This window comes from Homo sapiens, chromosome 19 (assembly GCF_000001405.40).
Source record: "Homo sapiens chromosome 19, GRCh38.p14 Primary Assembly".
In the NCBI taxonomy this organism is placed as follows: Eukaryota; Metazoa; Chordata; class Mammalia; order Primates; family Hominidae; genus Homo; species Homo sapiens.
In genome coordinates, this window is record NC_000019.10 from 30,568,099 (window position 1) to 30,587,398 (window position 19,300).

The 19,300-nt window shown below is 47.3% G+C and overlaps 1 protein-coding gene across 31 annotated transcripts in view; it reads left to right on the top strand.

Moving 5' to 3' along the window:
- Positions 1-19,300, top strand: part of ZNF536 (zinc finger protein 536) — a 487,995-nt gene that overhangs the window by 342,507 nt on the left and 126,188 nt on the right. The gene's annotated exons all lie outside the window — the stretch shown is intronic.

A 19,300-nucleotide genomic window follows, 5' to 3' on the forward strand; every position in this document is an offset into this window, starting at 1 on the left:
AGGGTTTTCTGCTTTTGCCCTTTTAGAAACGTCAAGCTGGAGAAGTTTAAAGAGATAAAAATGGCAATTGTGCAGACAGTAGGTAGCATTTTGGTTTTAGAATCATTAAATACATAAACCCAATTTGGTTTTTAGACTTTTTAGGAATAAACAGCTCCTGATATGTGAAGAAGGTGAGGAAAGTACCCAGAGGTTGGGAGTTTCCGGGGGAAGAGGCATCATTTTCCACCTCACGAGACCTTGGATACCATGAAATCTTTTGCATTTTCTATGACATTGTTCTGCACAAAGAGGAGTATATTTATTAAATATTGAATTATGTTAAAATTGAATTGATGGGAGCAAAGATGAGGATTTCTTTACATTAAACTTTTTACTTTTTAAAAGGCAAAGGTGCAAGTATTGATTAGTCTAGAAATAGTCATTTGTTTTAATTTAAAATATGCAATTGATTTTGAGAAGGTGATAAATACTGCTAATAAAAAAAAAACTCAGGAGGATTTCTATGACTCCCTGTCAATGGTTTTCCAAGGCAGACATACAGGGCAGGTCCAATCTGCTGAGCTTTTCATTGGAAAGGGACGTCAGCCTGGCTGGGGACACTGGCAATGCCCAGCCATGCTCTGGGGCAGCCGAGATGACAGGCCCTTAGTTCTGGCACAGTGGGACCCCGGTGATGGGGGCAAAGATTTAGGGCTTTGTCAGTGCATGTCTGGTGCAGAAAAGCAACTGGGCTGCTCTGAAGGGGAAGGGATGGGCAGCAGGTCACAGGACCATGGTCTTCACCAGCCCTGCCTCTCAGGGCCCCTGCTTTTACTGCTCCTCCTGAAAATAAGTTGGGCCCTCTCTGAGACAATCCACCTAGAACCAGGATGGTCTTGCCTCATCCTGCATCTTTTCCTTAATGCGATGAGCTGGTAGCTGCATAAGGAAGTTAAATGGAGAACTAAATGATGAATCCATAGGAATCAATGAGCAGAGAGGACACACCACATATCCAGAAGCAAAGCCCCTGGAGTGCTCAGATAACCAGAATTTTTCTAAGCCTAGTGTGCAATTGTTGAAATCCCTAATAATGAGTAGAGATGAATTTTGTTCAACTTTTTTTTTGTGTTGAGGTATATATCACGTAATAAATTTTATGATACCCTGGTGAGGTTAGAAGACCCCATAGCCATTTTTTGATCATCCTAGCTAGAGGAAAGTCTGGGCTACCCTGGAGATGCATCCATTCTTTGAAATGGGCTCTGCAGCCGTGTTCTTGGGGGAGGTGTTTGGTTTCTCTCTTCCTCCATTCTCCTTTGCCACACCTTCTTGATGGTACAAGAGGTCTGTCATCCTCCTGTGCCCTTTCCTGTGGGGGCTATGATGGGACCTACCTTGCCACTCAGTCTCTGGGTTAGGTGAGGAAGCCAACCTCCTCAGGGAGCTTGAGATGGAATCGAAGCCAGATAAACGTTCTTTTTTTTTTTTTTTTTTTTTTTTTTTTTTGAGACAGAGTTTGCTCTGTCACCCAGTCTGGAGTGCAGTGGCATGATCTCCACTCACTGCAACTTCTGCCTCCTGGGTTCAAGTGATTCTCTTGCCTCCGCCTCTGCAGTAGCTGGGATTGCAGGCATGCACCACCACGCCTGGCTAATTTTTGTATTTTCTAGTAGAGACGGGGTTTCACCATGTTGGCCAGGCTGGTCTCCAATGCCTGGCCTCAAGTGATCTACCCACCTCGGCCTCCTAAAGAGCTGGGATTACAGAGCCACTGTACCCGGCCCAGAGAAGCATTCTTGAACCCTCTGTCCACAACACAGCAAATAGCCCCGGGGGCTGTGGATAGCAGTGGTTCTCAGCTAGGGGCAATGTTCTCCCCTGGGGGACACTTAGCAATGTCTGGAGATATTGGGGAGGGGAGTGCTTCTGGCATCCAGGGGCCAGAGATGCTGCTAAATGCCTACAATGCACAGGACAGCCCCTACCACAATTATCTATCCCCAGATATCAGTAGCAATAGTGCCAAGGTTGAGATACCTTGGTGCACAGAGGGGAGAACCAGGCCTCTCAGTGAAACTCCGAGTTGGACTCATGGTGACAAGGCAAGTGGCGTGCCCTGCCATGCAGCTCACACCACGGCATTTGGCGTGCCCCCTGGACACCCTCCCTCCACATCCTGTCACCTTCAGACCTCAGGCGTTGATGAAAAACTTTGTAAGAAGCCGGGTGGGCTGGAAGGCAGGAACTTCAAGTGGAGTAACCCGGCACGTTCCTCCCAACTCAAACTGGCACGTGGGGTACGGAGAGGGTGGCAGGTGCAGAGGCAGCCGGGAGCCAGCCTTTTCTTCTCCCTGTGAGTGATAGCAAGCCCACGTTGTTATTGTGCACGTAGATATTACCACTTTAACTTTTACGGAGGTAAAATAACACCTTGTCACTCAGCATAAGTACCAATCACAAAATGAATTAATTGTAATAACCGTTGTCAACAGAACAAAGGACTTGTTGCTTTCCTAAGCAGATTTCAGCGCCACTGAGAACTATATACAAACGTTCCCATTGGACAGGCTGGCGGAAAACAGTCAGAACATAATTGTATCTGTCTATCTCTTTACTTTGTTTTTAAGGGTGAAGGAATTGAGTTAAAAACCTATATTTTAAGCATATCAATAAATATACCCCTTTTTGTGTTGGTGAAGTCTCCTCAAAAAACATGGAGTCTCTAATAAATTGGCCATGAAAATAGCGTTCGCTGCTGATAGCACCTAGAAGGGCCAGCTGTAGGGGCTGCCTGTTGACTTCAAGTCATGGAGGGAATATGCCCAATTACTCCCCAATAAAACACCCTCTTATTTCTGGGAGTTATCAAAACACATCCTCTGGACAGGTGGTCAGCTGCCCCCCAGCTCCTCAAAGGAAGATAAGTGGGCCTCACGCAGGGCCTGTGGAGTGTCTAACTGGCCCCACATCGACACAGGCAGGCTTGTTTGCAGTCAGTCTCTTTACAGTTACATTTTATCCCCTTTTTTTTTGATTCTAGTTTTTCATATCTTAGCACATTTTCCTCTTTAAGAAGCACTGTGGGTACTCTTCTGACAAAAGGGTCATTCCTGGGAGAGGTGGTCGGCTTCAGTGGGCTGGTTCGCTCAAAAGTCTAGTTCAAGCTGTGTCCCCAGTAGAGGTGAGGCCATTCTACTGGGGGTCTTTGAGGCTTGAGAGGGGCCAAAAGGCAGAGGATGGCTTTTGCAGGTCTGCTCGGGACTTCAGTGAAATATAAAGTTGGGAATCTCCCAAAGAACTCCAAGGCAAGTGTGTCTGACACACAGGCTAAGTAGGGGTCAAGATGCCCAAAGCCCTCTTCAGTGAGGATCATGAGCAATCATGCCCCCTTCATTGAACAAAGATGTAAAAGGCAACCTGGGAAGCTTTATCTGCTTTCATGCCATGGCAGCAAAGCAGAGAAAGTAACTTGGAAGACTCAGAGGGATAGAACGACTCTTTGCAGTCCATGCCCCCTTCTTGGTGCTGGCCCTACATGTTTCTCATTTCTTCCAGGCCCACTTCCTGCTCCTGCTTCTCTGTGACCTTTGGCCAGTGTGATCCCAACATCCGGCTTCCTCCCACGGTCTCAGGCCCCTCTCACCACAGGCATGAGTCTCCCCCACAGCATCTCTGGTGCCTTGTTAGACAGCCTGCTTTATTTTTAGGGCTCATTGAGGCCTACATTGGGCCCTCCATGATGAAATGAAAGAATCTTAGGCTATCAGAGATAGAAGTCATCTTAGAGGTCACATTTGATAGGGAGGTTGGAGAGAGGACTTGCCCTTGGTTGTAGAAGCAGAGACAAGGGGTGGTCTTGTTTTCACGCATCCAAATTGATCCCTCTGAGTGCTGTCACTGTACATCCAAGCAAGGAAGGTGTTTGTGTGGCTTGTCCCTGCAGCTTTGGGGCATCTTTTCCTGCAGAAGGACTGGCCACTTGGAAACATGGGTAAGAGGTGGGCATCTTGGTTTAATGCGGCCCTAACTGTCATGGTAGCCCATGCCTTTGGATTTGTGTAGTTATCTCTAGCTAGGACCAGGTACTACTTGCAGAAAAAGTACTGAAAGAGCCCTTCTCTGGAAAAGGAACTCTCCCTACTGCTTCCTGAGGCTGGTGTCTGTGTGCTGCGTCTCACGGGAAGGCAGGCTTATCCCTCGCACATTCATGGGAGAGGGGTGTTCATCACACTAAGGTCCCAGGCCCCCGTCCTAAGAGCAGAATGTGAAGTGGGGGCACCCAAGGGGGGCAGCTGTGGGATATGGAGAGAGGAGAGGTGGGGGCAGATCTTGTGCTGTGTGGACGGCCATTCTGGAAACACTGTGACCCCTCTACCCTCCACTCCCTAACCTCACCTGCCATCCAGCAGCCTTGTCCTGGGGAACGAGGAAACAGCATTCTCTCCAAATTTGTCAGAAAGGAGATGATTCCATCATGGGGAAGGTGCATGGTTACTTGTCCATGTACTTTAGCACATGTGGCATTCTTGCACAGCGTTGGCAGATGGTCGCCAACAGAGTAATCAAGATGACATCTCTCGTGGGGCTTACCTTCTATGGGGACACTGACAAACAAACAAACAAATAAGTTCGGCATAGGATGAGTGATATGAAGATGCTGAGGCAGGAGGAAGAGCTGGACCTTCACATGAGAAGGTCAGGATTCTATACCCCAGAGGGCAGGGAAGGCCTCTTTGTTGAAGGGGGACATTGGAGAGAGACTAGAGACAGTATCACATGTATCACATGGATAGAGAGCTAGAGCTCATCAGGACTTTTAATGGCCATATACAACAAATTCACCTGGAAAACGTGGCCCAACCCTTAGACATGTGAGTTAAGCCACCTTGGAGAGAGGCAGATGGTTGCTCAGACCCACCTGCACCAGACGCACCAGTGTGCAGAAATCTGAGGGGGGCACATATTCTAAGGAGAGGGTACAGGAAAGACAAAGACCCTCAGATGAGAGAGGAACAGAGTTTTGGAGGGCTTTTAGACCTCAGGACCCAGAGATCCCTGTGTAAGTGAACAGGATTTCCAAGGTTTTTCCAGATGTTGATATTTCATCCAAGCTTCTCGAGGGCCCTGTGTGGTCAACAGAGCTGGGACTTGGGGCTGTTTTTCCCATTTTTATAGATGGGGAAGCTGATGTTCAAAGAGAAAATAATGACTTGCATTAGTAATAGTTTGTGGTAGTGAAAGGCAGGGCTAGGGCCCCAGGTCTCCTGACTCCCAATACCAGGCTCATTCTGCTACCCTGGAATACTTCTGCCTGTTCCTGGGACTCTGATGTGTCTTTTGAGGCTGACCAGTTGTACGGTAGGACTACTGGGCCTAGGGGAGGCATCATAACTCATTCTTTGCACATTCCCCCCATTCCTGGTGAAAAGAAAGGTTGAAACTTAGAAGATTGGTCATAGACTTTGGAAACATGATACTATGAGAAACACAGCCATCCTCCAACTCCCCCAAGATGAAGGTCTTTTGTCCTCACGGACCAAGACTGTCCATGACAGAGTCCATGGATTGAACTACACCCACCCGGTTTCCTTTTAGGTATCACATGGATAGAGAGCAGGAGCTCGTCAGGACTTTTGATGGCCATACACAACAAATTCACCTGGAAAACGTGGGCCAATCCTTGGACATCTGAGTTAAGCCACCTTGGAGAGAGGCAGATGGTTGCTCAGACCTGCCTGCACCATGAAGTTTCACTCCATGCTGACCGTGACCAGCAGGGGTTCAGCCCCTCCTGGACACCTTCCAACATGATGGCCATGACAGTGGTGGTGCCACCCAAGGTGCAGAGGAGCTATTGCCAGGACGGGCAGCTGTCTTTCCAAAATCCCAGTTTTTGTCAGGGAAAACTGCTTTCAAATAAATAGCTGTTTCTGGATGATTCTTTTTAGTATTTCTTCTCCCAGCTGGCTGTTATATTGTTTGCATTGCATACCATTCTGGGAGGCAAAAGGTAGCCCACCTTTCATACTAGCTGCAATAGTATCTATTTCCCAAAATTAAAAGGTCAAATTAGGAACTATAGCAGCCTTAAAATACTTTATCTGCTCTCAACTTGAGAAGACATGTAGAAAGGCTTCTTTTGTACCCTAAAACTATTTGTGATGTTCTCCATGCATGGGGGTGAATTTGCAATGGGATCAGAGAACCAGGGTAAGCATGAAAGACTGGGGGAAGAGACCCTTCAAGAAAAGAAGCCAGGATCCCAGGTGGGTTCCTCTGCAAAGAAAGGCCCAGAGGTGCAACTCCCAAGCCCACTGCCTCCTGCTGCTGAGCTATACCTTGCCTTGGGGAAGTTGGCTTGTGGGTGGCCCCCATTAGGTGCTCAACTGATGCTAACGGTTGGTCACAATAGCAATGACCTCTTTCCCTCACTGATGCCCAAGGTCCAGCCAAAGACATTGGGCTTGAATAGCAAGGGCAGGATTCAGCAGAGACAGGCGTTGCCTTAAGGCCTTTCTGGCTTCCGGTCAATCCAGCATTCTTCTTACAGGGGAGCTTGCATGCTCACTTAGCTTGAAGCCCATGTAATCCCATGCTGTGAAGAGCTCATGCCAGGCCAGGCCATGTCACAGCAACAAAACTGAAGGTATGCACTTCATCATGATCAAGTGTATAGATCTATCTGTTTGTATACTATAATATCTATGTATTTGTTATAAAATAAAACTAAAAATACATTTTTTAATCAATGAGTTTTTCCCTCCTGACTTCTGCTAAATCCTATTCGATTTTTTTTTAAAGGTGAGAGGCTAAGGTCTAGCGTGGCTTGAATTTAGTCTAGTGCAGCCATGCATCGGAAAGTGATGGCAGGAAGGCTGTGGGCTGTAGTTCGTCATCTGGGTTTGTCAGTCTACACTGGGACAGGTCTACACAGCCTGTCTCTGCTCATGTAGTCCTTACCTCCACTCCTTGTTGTCTGTGCAGGGGATTACTGAGTTGTCAGGAAACATGGTCAGGAGGTACTCTGCAGCAGAATTTATCCATTCATTCATTCATTCATTCATTCATTCAGCAAGCAAGCATTGATGGAACATCTCTCCTATGCCAGGCACTCTTCTCAACATTAGGGCATGGAAATGCACAAAAACAGCCAGAAGCCCTAGACCTGTGAACCTGTTTCTCCTTTGCTATGCCCCGCCGGGCACTTCCCTCCATGGACAGCCCCTCCATGGGATAGGACTTTGTTGGCATGGTATGGTCCCCTACTCCCAGGACCTCTCAGTCAGTGGTGGCTGGACACCACCCCTCCCATCCAGAGCCTTGCTCTGTTGGCCTCCTGAAGATGATCCTGCCCGCCCAGGTGGCCACCACCATCTATTGCAGCAAGAGGAGCGAGACTGAGGGAGTAGCGACATCTGTCTTGCTCAGTCATCCAGCAAATATTTCCTGATGGTTCCTGTGCACCAGATCCTTTCCTAGGTATCAGAGACCCAGCGGTCCAGAAAGGAGGCAAAAACTCCTCCCTGCCTTCAGGCAGCTCACAGTCTAGAGGGCAGTGGGCAAATGGAATAACGGGTAGGTTAGATGGTGAGAAGGCTATGGAGAGAAATAAGGCAAACCAGGAGTTAGGGAGTGCCGGGGGTGCTGCTACTTTCCAGAGGTGGACAGAGACAAGGCCTGTGCAGTGACACCCAGGGATTTGAAGGAAGCCAGTGCGTTCCTCGGAGGATGTGGGGCGCACACTTGGGTGAGGCCCTGAGGACAGCAGCATGTACAGTTCAGAGAACTTTGGAGAGAGAATATGTAGAAGAGGGGGAGGGACGGGTCACAGAAATGGCCTAGGCCTTGTGGCCACAAGAGCGACTCCGGCAGAGGCCAGCTTCATGGGGTGTGCGCCCCATGCAGTCCCTTAAGGCCTACACTGAGAAGGGCTCGGCTCATGGTATAAGGGTCAAGTGTGCCCACATTGGAATTCTTAATGATGTTTGAGCCAAGGGTCCTGCATTTCTCTTTTGCAGTGGGTCCCACAGATGCCATAGTGCCTCTGACCCTGGCTTTTCCACCAGGCAGGAAGGAAAGCCTCTGCAGAGCATGAGACGATTTGGAGAGAGCAGGCTGCTGGGCGTGGGGGACCCATGGGTGGGAAGGTAGGAGGCCGGGAAGGAGGCTGTTGTGGTGACTGAGCCCAGGATGGAGGTCCTTGTTCCGGTGTCAGTGACGATGCAGATAGGACACTCTGTTCCAAGCCTGCGTCTCCCGCTCTGTCTCCTTCCCCCATCGTTCCTCCATCTCCACTGCTATCTCAAGCCCCACCTGGGTCCTCCTTCTCCAGAGCCCCACCCCTGTCCTTGACATCTTGGGAGCCCCAGTTTCATGGTTGAACTTCAATCTTTTCCCTCTGTCTTCTTTATTGACTTCTTTCTGACCTCCTGGGGAATTGACAGCTGTCCAGAAGCTGCAGATAGGCTGTGCTCTTCTACGCTAGTGGCGCTCATGTCTGATACTGTGGGCTGGACAGCCAGGTTCTGTTCCTGGTCATGGGGACCCACTGCCATGCACCATCCATACCCCCTGCCTCACTTTCCTCTGCAGCCCACAGTGTCCAGTCCCAGGGGACTGGGTGCTCACAGTGAGGCTTGTGGAGTTTTCTTCCTGCAAATCCACCTGGTCCACGTGGGGACTGGAGGCTTTCTTGTCCTGGGCAATGCTTTCAGCAACTCAGCCGTCTTCCAAGGGGAACAGTCAGACAAGAGGATCCGGCCTTTCCTGGAGTTGCATGTCTCTTTAGGGAGGCACTCTGCAAGCCGGCACATCCCTGCCTCAGTTTCCCTGGTTCACATGCTCCTCACAGTTGTACTTTAAATACTCTTTTGCCTGGTTTTATTTGTTTGGGATTTGAAGTCTGTTTTTTGTTGTTGTTGTTGTTTTGTTTCTTAAACACCTTGATAGGTTTTGCAAACAGCATCTTGAAAAGTAGCTTTTTGATTTGAATAAGAAATGAAAGCAAAAGCCACCAACTCTTCAACGATTATTTATTGTGCATGTTTTTTTCTCCTTCATTTTAATACCCCGGCTCTTTAATACCAAAATATCACACATAGAAGAAAGCTTTAAAAAATTAGATGGGGGTGGAGTGGCAGTTGTGGTGTAAATTTGCTTCATGGTTAAGGCCTTGTATGCCAAGTTTTAGTCTGAATTACATATTTACAGCTGAGTTATAAACCCCCGAAAAACAGGATTTATCATGGAAATAGTGACACAACTTCAGCCAGCCTGGTGTTCTTGGGGGTTGGGGTAATATACTGTGCAGAGAAGTCAGTTCATTAGTTAGTTATAAACAAAGGACAGAGATAGTAAATTAGAGTAGGTATTTCAGCAGTTTTCTGTGTATTTACGACACCAAGATATGCAGCTGCATTTTATTCCTTGAGATAGTATTTAAGTATTGCAGATTTAAAGCGCGTTTTTAGATATGGCCATGGTACATTTTTAGCCTGGGTCATTCTAGTTCTTCTGTAGTTTTATTCGTGGTATTTTCTTCTTTCTCTGTTGCTCATTAGAAAAATGTTAAAAATCCATTTTCGTCTGATTAATAATAAAGCTGATCACATGTAACCTAATTTTCATTCAGTGCTGCCCCTGTCTGTGGAGTCATATACAAAGTGACCTTTGAATCGCCAGTGGACTCATAAAGTACAATAAGCACCATTGTCCTGTCAAAAATTGAAGATGTTTTACATCATTACAAAATTTAATGTTCCATCTTTTCAAATGCACTACTTTTCAAAGGCCACATTCCAATTGAAGCTCATTAAAATCAGACTCAAGTTTCCTGTGGTGGGGATGAAGAGAGTTTCGCAGGCAATGGGAGGAAAATGAATCACTCTTTTAAAACAGATATGGTTACATATTAGTTTTGAAAGGTACAGGGATGGGAGAGCCTCTGTTGCCGGCAACAGTGCGGCTTTTGTGCTGATAAATCCAATAACTGCCTCCTGGTTCTTTTTACTTCACCCACCCTGTATCCTATTTACTTGCAAATAAATCAGCTCTCTAAATAAAATTGTTGTTTTAAAGTTCAGAGGTGGAATCTGAAGGGGTTTCTGGAGAGATGCTGTAAAGTCAGCCCGGCAATTTCAGATTAAAGAAAAAAATGTTCCTCTGACTCAGAGACCTGATATTATAGAAACCTGGTCACTAGAGAGGGTTTCCTAGTTCCTGGGGAAGGTTGGCCCGCGAAGCGCAGTGTTTTAACTAAGAGCCAGCTCAGTCACCCACTGGGGATGGGCCACAGTAGGGACCCTGGAATTCTGAGCCCAGGCATAATGCCTGCCTTGGCAAAGCAAACATCCACAGGTCTTCCTGTTCCAGTTCTTTTTCGGTTGTCATGCTGGACATCTTGGCTTTTTCTTGGCTGCATCTGAGCACGGAATCTCTGGCCTGGTCTCTATGTAAGTTTTTCTGGCTGGTCCTTGGGTTATACGACATGAGGAATGAGCTCTTCCCATATTGGGCACTGCTCATGCAATGGAATTGTTTAGGTCTAGTTTTTTGCAGAATACTCACGTGCATCTTTTGAGCTCTTGAAATACTGGCCTCTTCAAGAAACATCTAGGTTGGAAAGTTGTTCACTTTGCAGAGCAGGAAGGACAACTTGAGGCCCGACACTGCTCACCGTAGGCTTGACACCCAGCTCCACTTACCAGGCCATAGGGCTCTCATGGGCCATTTATCAGGCATTGGGATTTAGTCAAAAGAGAGTTATCCAGGTTCTGGGCAGGCTCATTTGTACCTTAGGGGACCATTTCAGAGTACAAGCTTTGGCATCCGCTGGAATTGAGTTTGTGGCCCAGTTCTACTGCTGGAGGCTGTGACCTTGGTCAGGCTGCTTAGCTTTTCTGGGCTCCAGATTCCTCATAGAAATAATAATAGTATCTACCTGACATAACTATATAAGATTACACATGTAAAGTCTTTAACCCTGTTTCTAAGACTTAGTTATTGATCATTAACTGTGAGTTACAGGCTAGTTGTTCTTTTACTTATAGCTAGAAAATCACTATCTGTGTTCTATCTTTGGAGTGTAAGAGAGTTTAGAGAGGTAAAACAAGAAGAAGAAAATGGCTTGCACCTGATCGAATGACTAATGGGTTTTCCATGACAGCTATAGCAGTTAGCTACTGCCGTGTTACAAACTTAGTGGGTAAAACAACAGCAATTTATGTTTTCTCACAGGTCTTTGGGTCAGCTGGGTGATCCTGCTGATCCTGGCTAGGCTCAACTGATCTTCACTGGACTTCCTCATGATTCAGTAGGTGGCTAGGTCAGCTGGAGGATGGCTGGTCTAGGATGGCTTTGACTGGGGTTCCTTAGTTCTGTTCTGTGTGGTCTCTCATCTCCAGCAGGTTAGCCTGGGCTCGTTCTCATGATGGAGGCTCTTCCAAGAGAGCAAATGGAAACGCAGAGGCACTTCTGCCCAATTCTGCTTGCAAAGTTACCATCAATCATCCCACCGGCCACAGTCACATGGCCACACCCAGAGTCAGTGTGGGAGGAACCTAGCAGAGGGCATGGATGAAGGAGGCATGAGCCTTGTAGGTACTAATGCAATCAATCTCTTTCTGTCCCCACATCCCCAAGGGGCACATTGAGTTATATGGACAGTGGTGTGGCAGGGTGAATCTAATACTTTAGAAGATGTTTTAATTCCTTCAGTCTCAGGACAGCACTCTGGTGAGATGTTCCATTATGTTTTTCTGGTATGCTCTGAGGTCTTTCCTACAACCACCTGCTTTACCACCACTGAACCCATTCTTCCCACAAGGAAAACTTCCTTTCTTCTTTCTGCTGGTAGACTCTTTTTAAGAAAGCTGTCTTGAAAGATTGTATGGCTTCTTCACAATGTCCTAGTTCCAAAGGCCCATGGCTGGGATTGAGCAGACGCAGTTGCTGAGTCTGAAAGCCCCTGGCCTCCCTCTCCCTGTCACCCCTTGCTGGCTCCCTCCCTCATCTTCAAGGTCCTCTCCTGCTCTCTTGCCCTCAGGGGATCCATGTTCACCCAGTGGTTCTGGTATTGGCAATGCACCTGAGCTGCCCCAATGGCCAACATTGGGTCCAGGCCACAGAGAGCCCCGGGCTGGGGACCCCTTCCCTGCTGTACCCTACTCGGAGTTCTAGGTCCCCCTTATGCTTTCTGGTTTGTGCTACAGGGAAGGGCCCATGCTGAAGAGACCTATGGTCTTGCAGCGAGTTTCTCAAATGCTCCTCCTGCCCTTGATGGATGGGAAATGGTGTCTTTCAAGGCACTGGCATCCAGAGTCTGACCCTAGTAGGTGTGGGTGTACTCAGCACAACTGTGGTCAGGTGCCCGAGAAGCCAAGATTAGTGAGGCACACCTCCACATGCAAAAGCAGGGGCTCTGTCTGTGGAGTGGGGTACCTGTGTGTTTCTGCGGGCATGCCAGGGAGGGTATGCTGTAGTGGTGCTGGGAGCAAGACTCTCCCAGCCCCTCTTCCAAAGGAGGCTGAGGAGCTGCTGTGTCTCAGCCAATGGATGCTCTGGCCCAGACGTCATCTAAGCCCTCTGGGTTCAGGCTCCTATGATCCTGTGTGGAGCTGCAGAAACAATAGGGTCTCGAGGAAATTCCAGCTCATCCTACTCTTTTCTTCCTCCCCTTTGGGCCCGTTTCTCACCAGGGTCTCCACAGTGGTCAGAGCAACTCCAGCTCCTGGCTGCTTGGAACTCTCCCTGCTGGTGACCCCACTGACATCCTCCATGGATCAGATGGGGGCAGCAGAGACTGTGTCCACAGGAAGTGGACAGCTGTGACTGCAGGTGGCCCCAGCATTTTCCAAGACCTGTAGGAGCCCATCGGTCCTCATTCGATCTGGAAGTGATTTTCCTAGAAGAATTGGGTATTAGCTTCTGGAATTATGAGCAGGAAAAGCTTGCTTTAGAAACTCCAAAATCTGATATTCCATCTGAATTTAGAAAAGCAGACCTGATCAAATTCACTATGTAAGTAAAACTACTTATTTAGAAAAAGAAATAATAGTCAACTAATAAGTTCAACTACTTCTCCTGCCTCTAAATTTATGATGGAAAGTTAGAGTTGCTGGAGACAGTGGCTCCCGCCTGTAATCCCAGCACTTTGAGAGGCAAGGCGGGAGAATCACTTGAGGTCAGGAGTTTGAGACCAGTCTGGCCAACACAGTGAAACTCTTTCTCTACTAAAAATACAAAAATTAGCTGGGCATGGTGGTGGGCGCCTGTAGTCCCAGCTACTCAGGTGGCTGAGGCACAAGAATCACTTGAACCCGGGAGGTCGAGGTTGCAGTGAGCTGAGATTGTGCCACTGCATTCCAGCCTAGGCAACAGAGCCAGGGTCCATCTCAAAAAGAAAAGAAAAAAAAAGTTACAGTTGCTTGTGGTGGTTGAAGATTTGGCTTTGAGGACTGGAAACAGCTCTTGCAGGGGACAGAGAGAGGCCGAGATCAGCTGATGGCTGTGTCCTTTCTTGGGAGGACTTTCTGGATGTCTGTGGCTGGAAGCAGGACAGTAAAGAAAAGGAGTGGGCCAGCGCAATGGCTCACCCCTGTAATCTCAGCACTTTGGGAGGCCGAGGTGGGCGGATCACGAGGTCAGGAGTTCAAGACCAGCCTGGCCAACATGGTGAAACCCCATCTCTACTAAAAATACTAAAATTAGCCGGGCATGGTGGTGCACCTATTATCCCAGCTACTCGGGAAGCTGAGGCAGGAGAATTGCTTGAACCCAGGAGGCAGAGGTTGCAGTAAGCTGAGATCGTGCCACTGCACTCCAGCCTGGTGACAGAGCCAGAGCGAGACTCCTCTGTGTAAAACAAAACAAAAACAAAACAAAACAAAAAAGAAGGAGTTATGTCCAAGAGTCAGGAAGACACTGAATGTCGCAGGATTCCCAGTGGAATCCTCTGAGGGAAAAAAGAGAGGTGAGGGTCCGCGGTCCTGCTTCCCCAGAGGTGAGGCAGCTTTTGGCCATGTTGTTGGTAGCAAAGACTCACTTTCAGCTCTGGAAGCTTTGGCTGGCAGCTGGGAAAACAATGTAATCTGGAAGTTCAGGGAGACCGAGGCAGTGACACACAATGGGCAGACGTGCACCAAAGGGAGGAGGCCGAAGCTCTATAGGGTGCCTACTGCCAAGGGAGCCTGTGGGTGTGATTCTACTGCTCACACAGTTGAAAACAATTCTCTACATGCTGCAGCTTCCAATTCTCTACACAGCTGATGTCCTGGCTTCTCTTCCTAGTTTCTCTTTTTTTTTTTTTTTTTTTTTTTTCAGACAGGGTCTAATTCTCTCACCCAGGTGCAAATGACCAGTGGTGTGATCATAGCTCATAGCTCACTGCAGCCTCAAACTCCTGGGCTCAAGTGATCCTCCTGCCTCAGCCTCCTGAGTACCTGGGACTACAGGTGCATGCCATTATGCCAGGCTAATTTTTTTATTTTTTATAGAGACGATGTATTAGTCTGTTCTCACACTGCTGATAAAGACATACCCAAGACTAGGTTATTTATAAAGAAAAAGAGGTTTAATGGACTCACAGTTCTTTGTGACTGGGGAGGCCTCACAATCATGGCTGGTGGAAGGTGAAAGGCACGTCTTACATGGCAGCAGACAAGAGAGGGAATGACAGCCAAGTGGAAAGGGAAACCCCTCATAGAACCATCAGATGTCGTGGGACTTATTTGCTACCATGAAAACAGTGTGGGGGAAACCATCCCCATGATTCAATGATCTCCCACTGGGTCCCTCCCACAACACGTGGGAATTATGGGAGCTACAATTCAAGATGAGATTTGGATGGGGACACAGCCAAACCATATCAGATGTGGTCTCACTATGTTACTCAGACTGGTCCTGAACCCCTGGCCTTAGGGATCCTCCTAACTCAGCCTCCCAAAGTCCTGGGATTACAAGCATGAGACACCTGTCTGGCCTCTCACTAGCTCCTTGATTGACTTTAAGTAAGCCCCAGACCTCTGTAGGCCTAAGGTTCCTCATCTGTGCCATGAGGGGTAGCACTAGGTAGTCCCCATGGGCCTTATCAACACTGACAGTCATGAGACCTGTTGGAAGGAGTTCCTGGTCTCTGAGTGGTATTTCTAAGAAAAGTGTGGGAGTCACAGGAGGACAGTCCCTGAGCAGAACAGGGCCATGCTGTGTGATGCTGTTGAAAGGACCCTCAGCCCCTTTGGCCTTTCTCCAGGCTGGTGGGGAGATGCCCCGGGTGGCTCCAACAGAGATCTTTCTGTCTGGCTGCAGTGCAGGGAGCAACTGTTCTGAGAGGCAGAGAGGCCATTGGCAAGCCAGGGTGACTAGCAGGCACTACACTTTATTGGGAGAAGGGCTTCCTCGGCAGCTGGAATGGGTGTGCTTTTGGTGTGTGTGTATGTATGGGTCCTGGCCTGCAGCTCCACCCAGATGCTTAAGAAGTGCCCCACACTTGAACACTTCCTTCCAGAATCAAGGCTCCGGATGGGGCTGACCCCTAGCCCCTGAGTGTCAGTAGGAACAGAAAGCAGTGCTTTCTGTACATGGACCCTTGAAGGGGCTGTAGTCCTCATGAGGGCAGCAATCAATGCATTCCTAGCTACTGGCACAGTGACTAGCACAGAGTAGGTCCTCAAGATATTGTAGAATAGTGAATGAAGGGATGAAATAACAGACAGATGGATGAATGGATGAACAAATGAATGAAGTAAACAACTCTTCAAGCTTGACGAGCTCGGCTATTGATGGAGACCCGAGAGCCGTGATTCTGGCCCTGGTGGTCAGAAAGGGTTAATAGATCTTGGGAGTATTAGCTGGACACTGAGAAAGTGGTTCTCTCACTCAGGGAAACTGCCCATTGGCTCAGGGTGGGATGCTACTGCTTGGGGTTACCAAGCCTTTTATGCATCTAGAATCAACAGTCAGCCCTGGCCAACCACAATCCCTGTGTGTTCCAAGCAACCCAGTCTCATCCCTGCTACTTTTCTCATCTCCAACGCTGCATCTTCCTATCTCCCCTGATGTCCTTCCCTCCTGCCCTCCTATCCATCATTCCAGGCCCATGTTAAGCCTCACATCCCCCAGCAAGTCTGGGCTCCACCTCCTGTATCCTGCTGCAAGTGGTGAGCAGCAGCTGGAAGGACCTCCTCTCCCCTGCTCCTTGTGGGACTCAGGCAGATAACGCCTCTTAGCTGTCGTGTTATTTACACTTTCAAATCCCCCAGCAGCGGGAGGATAAGGGATCAGTGGTAAGAAAGCTGTTAGTGAAGGTGCTGTGTGTTTAGTCTGGGTGTAGTGGAAAGTGTGGCTCCCCCGATGGCCCTGCGGTTACGCTTTCTTTCCCTGCGGTGCTACAGCACTCCTGATTAAATAAAAGTGTGTGACTCTCTCTCCACATGGATATATATCTATGCAAAGTACAGTTCAGAGAATGTGTGAAGACCCTGGAGACACAGCCCAAAATGCCCTCCAGCTTCTCTCTGCCAATCCATGTCCAGCCTTCGGGATTAGCTCTCTTTTTCTGTTCTTTAATAAAGCCTTCCAGAGCAACACAGGTCTCCCTCCTCCCTGATTCATCATCATTTCTCAAGTCTGCACCTTGCAGAACTTTCCTCTTTGTTTGTATGTTCTAATTTAGCCTTCTGCAGCTTAGGAAATTGTCTTTTCTCTCAGATCAAAACTACTTTAGAGACAGTCTTGGTTGGGTGTGGTGGCTCACGCCTGCAATCCCTGCACTTTGGGAGGCCGAGGCAGGAGAATTGCTTGAGGCCAGGAGTTCAAGACCAGCCTAGGAAACATAGCCAGACCCCCTCTCTACAAAAATACTTAAAAATTAGCTGGGCATGTTGGTATGTGCCTCTAGTCCCAGCTACTTGGGAGGCTGAGGTGGGAGGATTGCTTGAGCCCAGCAGGCAAGTGTCTCACTCTGTTGCCCTGGCTGGAATTCAGTGGCCATGATTGTGCCACTGCACTCCAGCCTGGGCAACAGAACTTGCCACTCAAAAAAAAAAAGAAAAAGAAAAAGAAGAAAAGAAGATACAGTCTTAAGCATTTTGAGAAGGCCCAAGAAATAGGCTAAGTTGATTCATTTTCAGCTTTTCAGCAATCTTGACGTTGGTAGGAACAGAAAGTGCTTTCTGTACATGGACACTTAAAGGGACTGTAATCCTCATGAGGGCAGCAACCAATGTATTTCTAGGTCCTGGCACAGTGCCTGGCACAGAGTAGATTCTCAAAATATTGTAGAATACTGAATGAAGGGATGAATAGTAGATGGATGGATGAATGGATGGATGAACAGATGAACAAATGAATGAAGTAAACAACTCTTCAAGCTTGACAAGCTCGGCTATTGATGGAGACCCTAGAGCCATGACTGTGGCCCTGGTGGTCAGAAAGGGTTAATAGATCTTGGGAGTATTAGCTGGGCACTGAGAAAGTGGTTCTCTCATCCAGGGAAGCTGCCCATTGGCTCAGGGTGGGATGCCACTGCTTGGGGTTACCAAGCCTTTTATGCATCTAGAATCAACAGCCAGCCCCAGCCAACCATAAGCCTTCTGTCTCAAGCAGCCCAGTCTCATCCCTGCTATCTTTCTCATCTCCAACTCTGCATCTTCCCATCTCCCCTGATGACCTTCCCTCCTGCCCTCCTACCCGTCATTTCAGGGCTGTGTCAAGCCTCACGTCCCCCAACAAGCCTTTCCTGTTGACACTAGGTAATACAAGTCTTCTCCCACTTGATGTCCAAGGAACTTTCATTGTCTGTACCACATAACTTGATGTCTGAAATATCAGTATTTGTCACACTGCAGTGGAAAGGTGTTTGAGCTAATATTTTCTTTTATCCCAGAAACATACACTGAGCTCATACGTATCAGTCAATCAGACAAGATCCTCTATATACTTCCTCTAATCCCCCAATCACCCCTGCCCTCCTGGAGCTTACACTTAGTCTGTTTGGATCCCACCTCTGCCACTTAATAGCTATGTATATTTGGGCAAGTTACAAGCTATTTCTAAGACTGAGTTTTATCATCCGTAACATCTAGCTGACAACAACTTCTCTGAAACAGGTTGCCCAAGTCTCGTTAATGTGAATACCCTCTGCTTATCCTGGTTCCGTCGCTGGATGGAAGAAATTTTGATGGACAACTAGGTTGCTTCATTGTTCTATAGAGGCAAAAAGGGGAGTGGAAATCCCATAAATGGGTCCCAGCATGCGCTGGTTAGTGAGAATGTGCGGCCACCATGTTCTATTGCATGTTAGTCACGTAAGTCCTAAGGTCAACCTTCTGGAGAGGAAGACAAATGAATTCAGAATCAGGTGGACAAATGCATGTAACTGAAGGAGTAACTGACATAAGAGCACCTTTTGAAAATCAACTCAAAAAGCCATGGAGTTTCCTTCCTTCCTTCTTTTTCTGCCTTCCTTTCCCCTTCTGGTACTTGATATAATTTCCACTATTGACTATCATTTTTAAAAAGGCTCTCCTGGCCAGCCAACTTCTAGAGGATGGTCATAAGCTGGTAAGCAATGAAGCAACTGTACCTTCTGGAAATTAATTACAGGTTCAACACAGCCTGCTTTTTGCCCACCTGTAAAATAGTGTGTGGATGGAGAGTACCATGAGTATTGCATAGTATTTAATATGCAGTCTTGTAGTCCAAGAAACACTTGTCAACATTATGTAATAATCTATGATCAAAAACTAAAACTTGTCAACTTCAAGAATCAGTTGCATTCTAACTCTACAACTGAAACTCATTTAAAAGTATATGAAAATCATGAGGAAGAGATTCAATTAAAATTAATTGAAAGTATGGAAAAATGATTTGCAGTGATATAAATCAGTACTTATTGCTTACTTTAGCTTATTCTATAAGGGACTCTCTAAGAACAACTAAAAAGATTTCTAAATGTGTAAAGGACAAATAACATGACTCTGTCCACACATATCTTGAAGATTTAAGAGGAGCTATGATACCTTTTTCCTTCTAGATCCTCAACCAGCCTTTCCCATCATTGCTACTTTTCTGGACTGAGAGACATAGCAGAAATCCAATTGCAAAGATTTTTCTTTTTATTTTTTTAACTTTTGAGTGTGCATGCAATTTCACTGATAGCAGGATCTCAGCAGAGAAATTAACTTCAATAATCTATGGATTACAAGACATATCAAACCTTCAAAGCAGTCCAATGTTAGATCTATTCTCAGAAGGGTTTAAATGGCTTTAATAGTTAACAACAAATGATAGAATGCATTTTCCCAACTAAATCAAGATC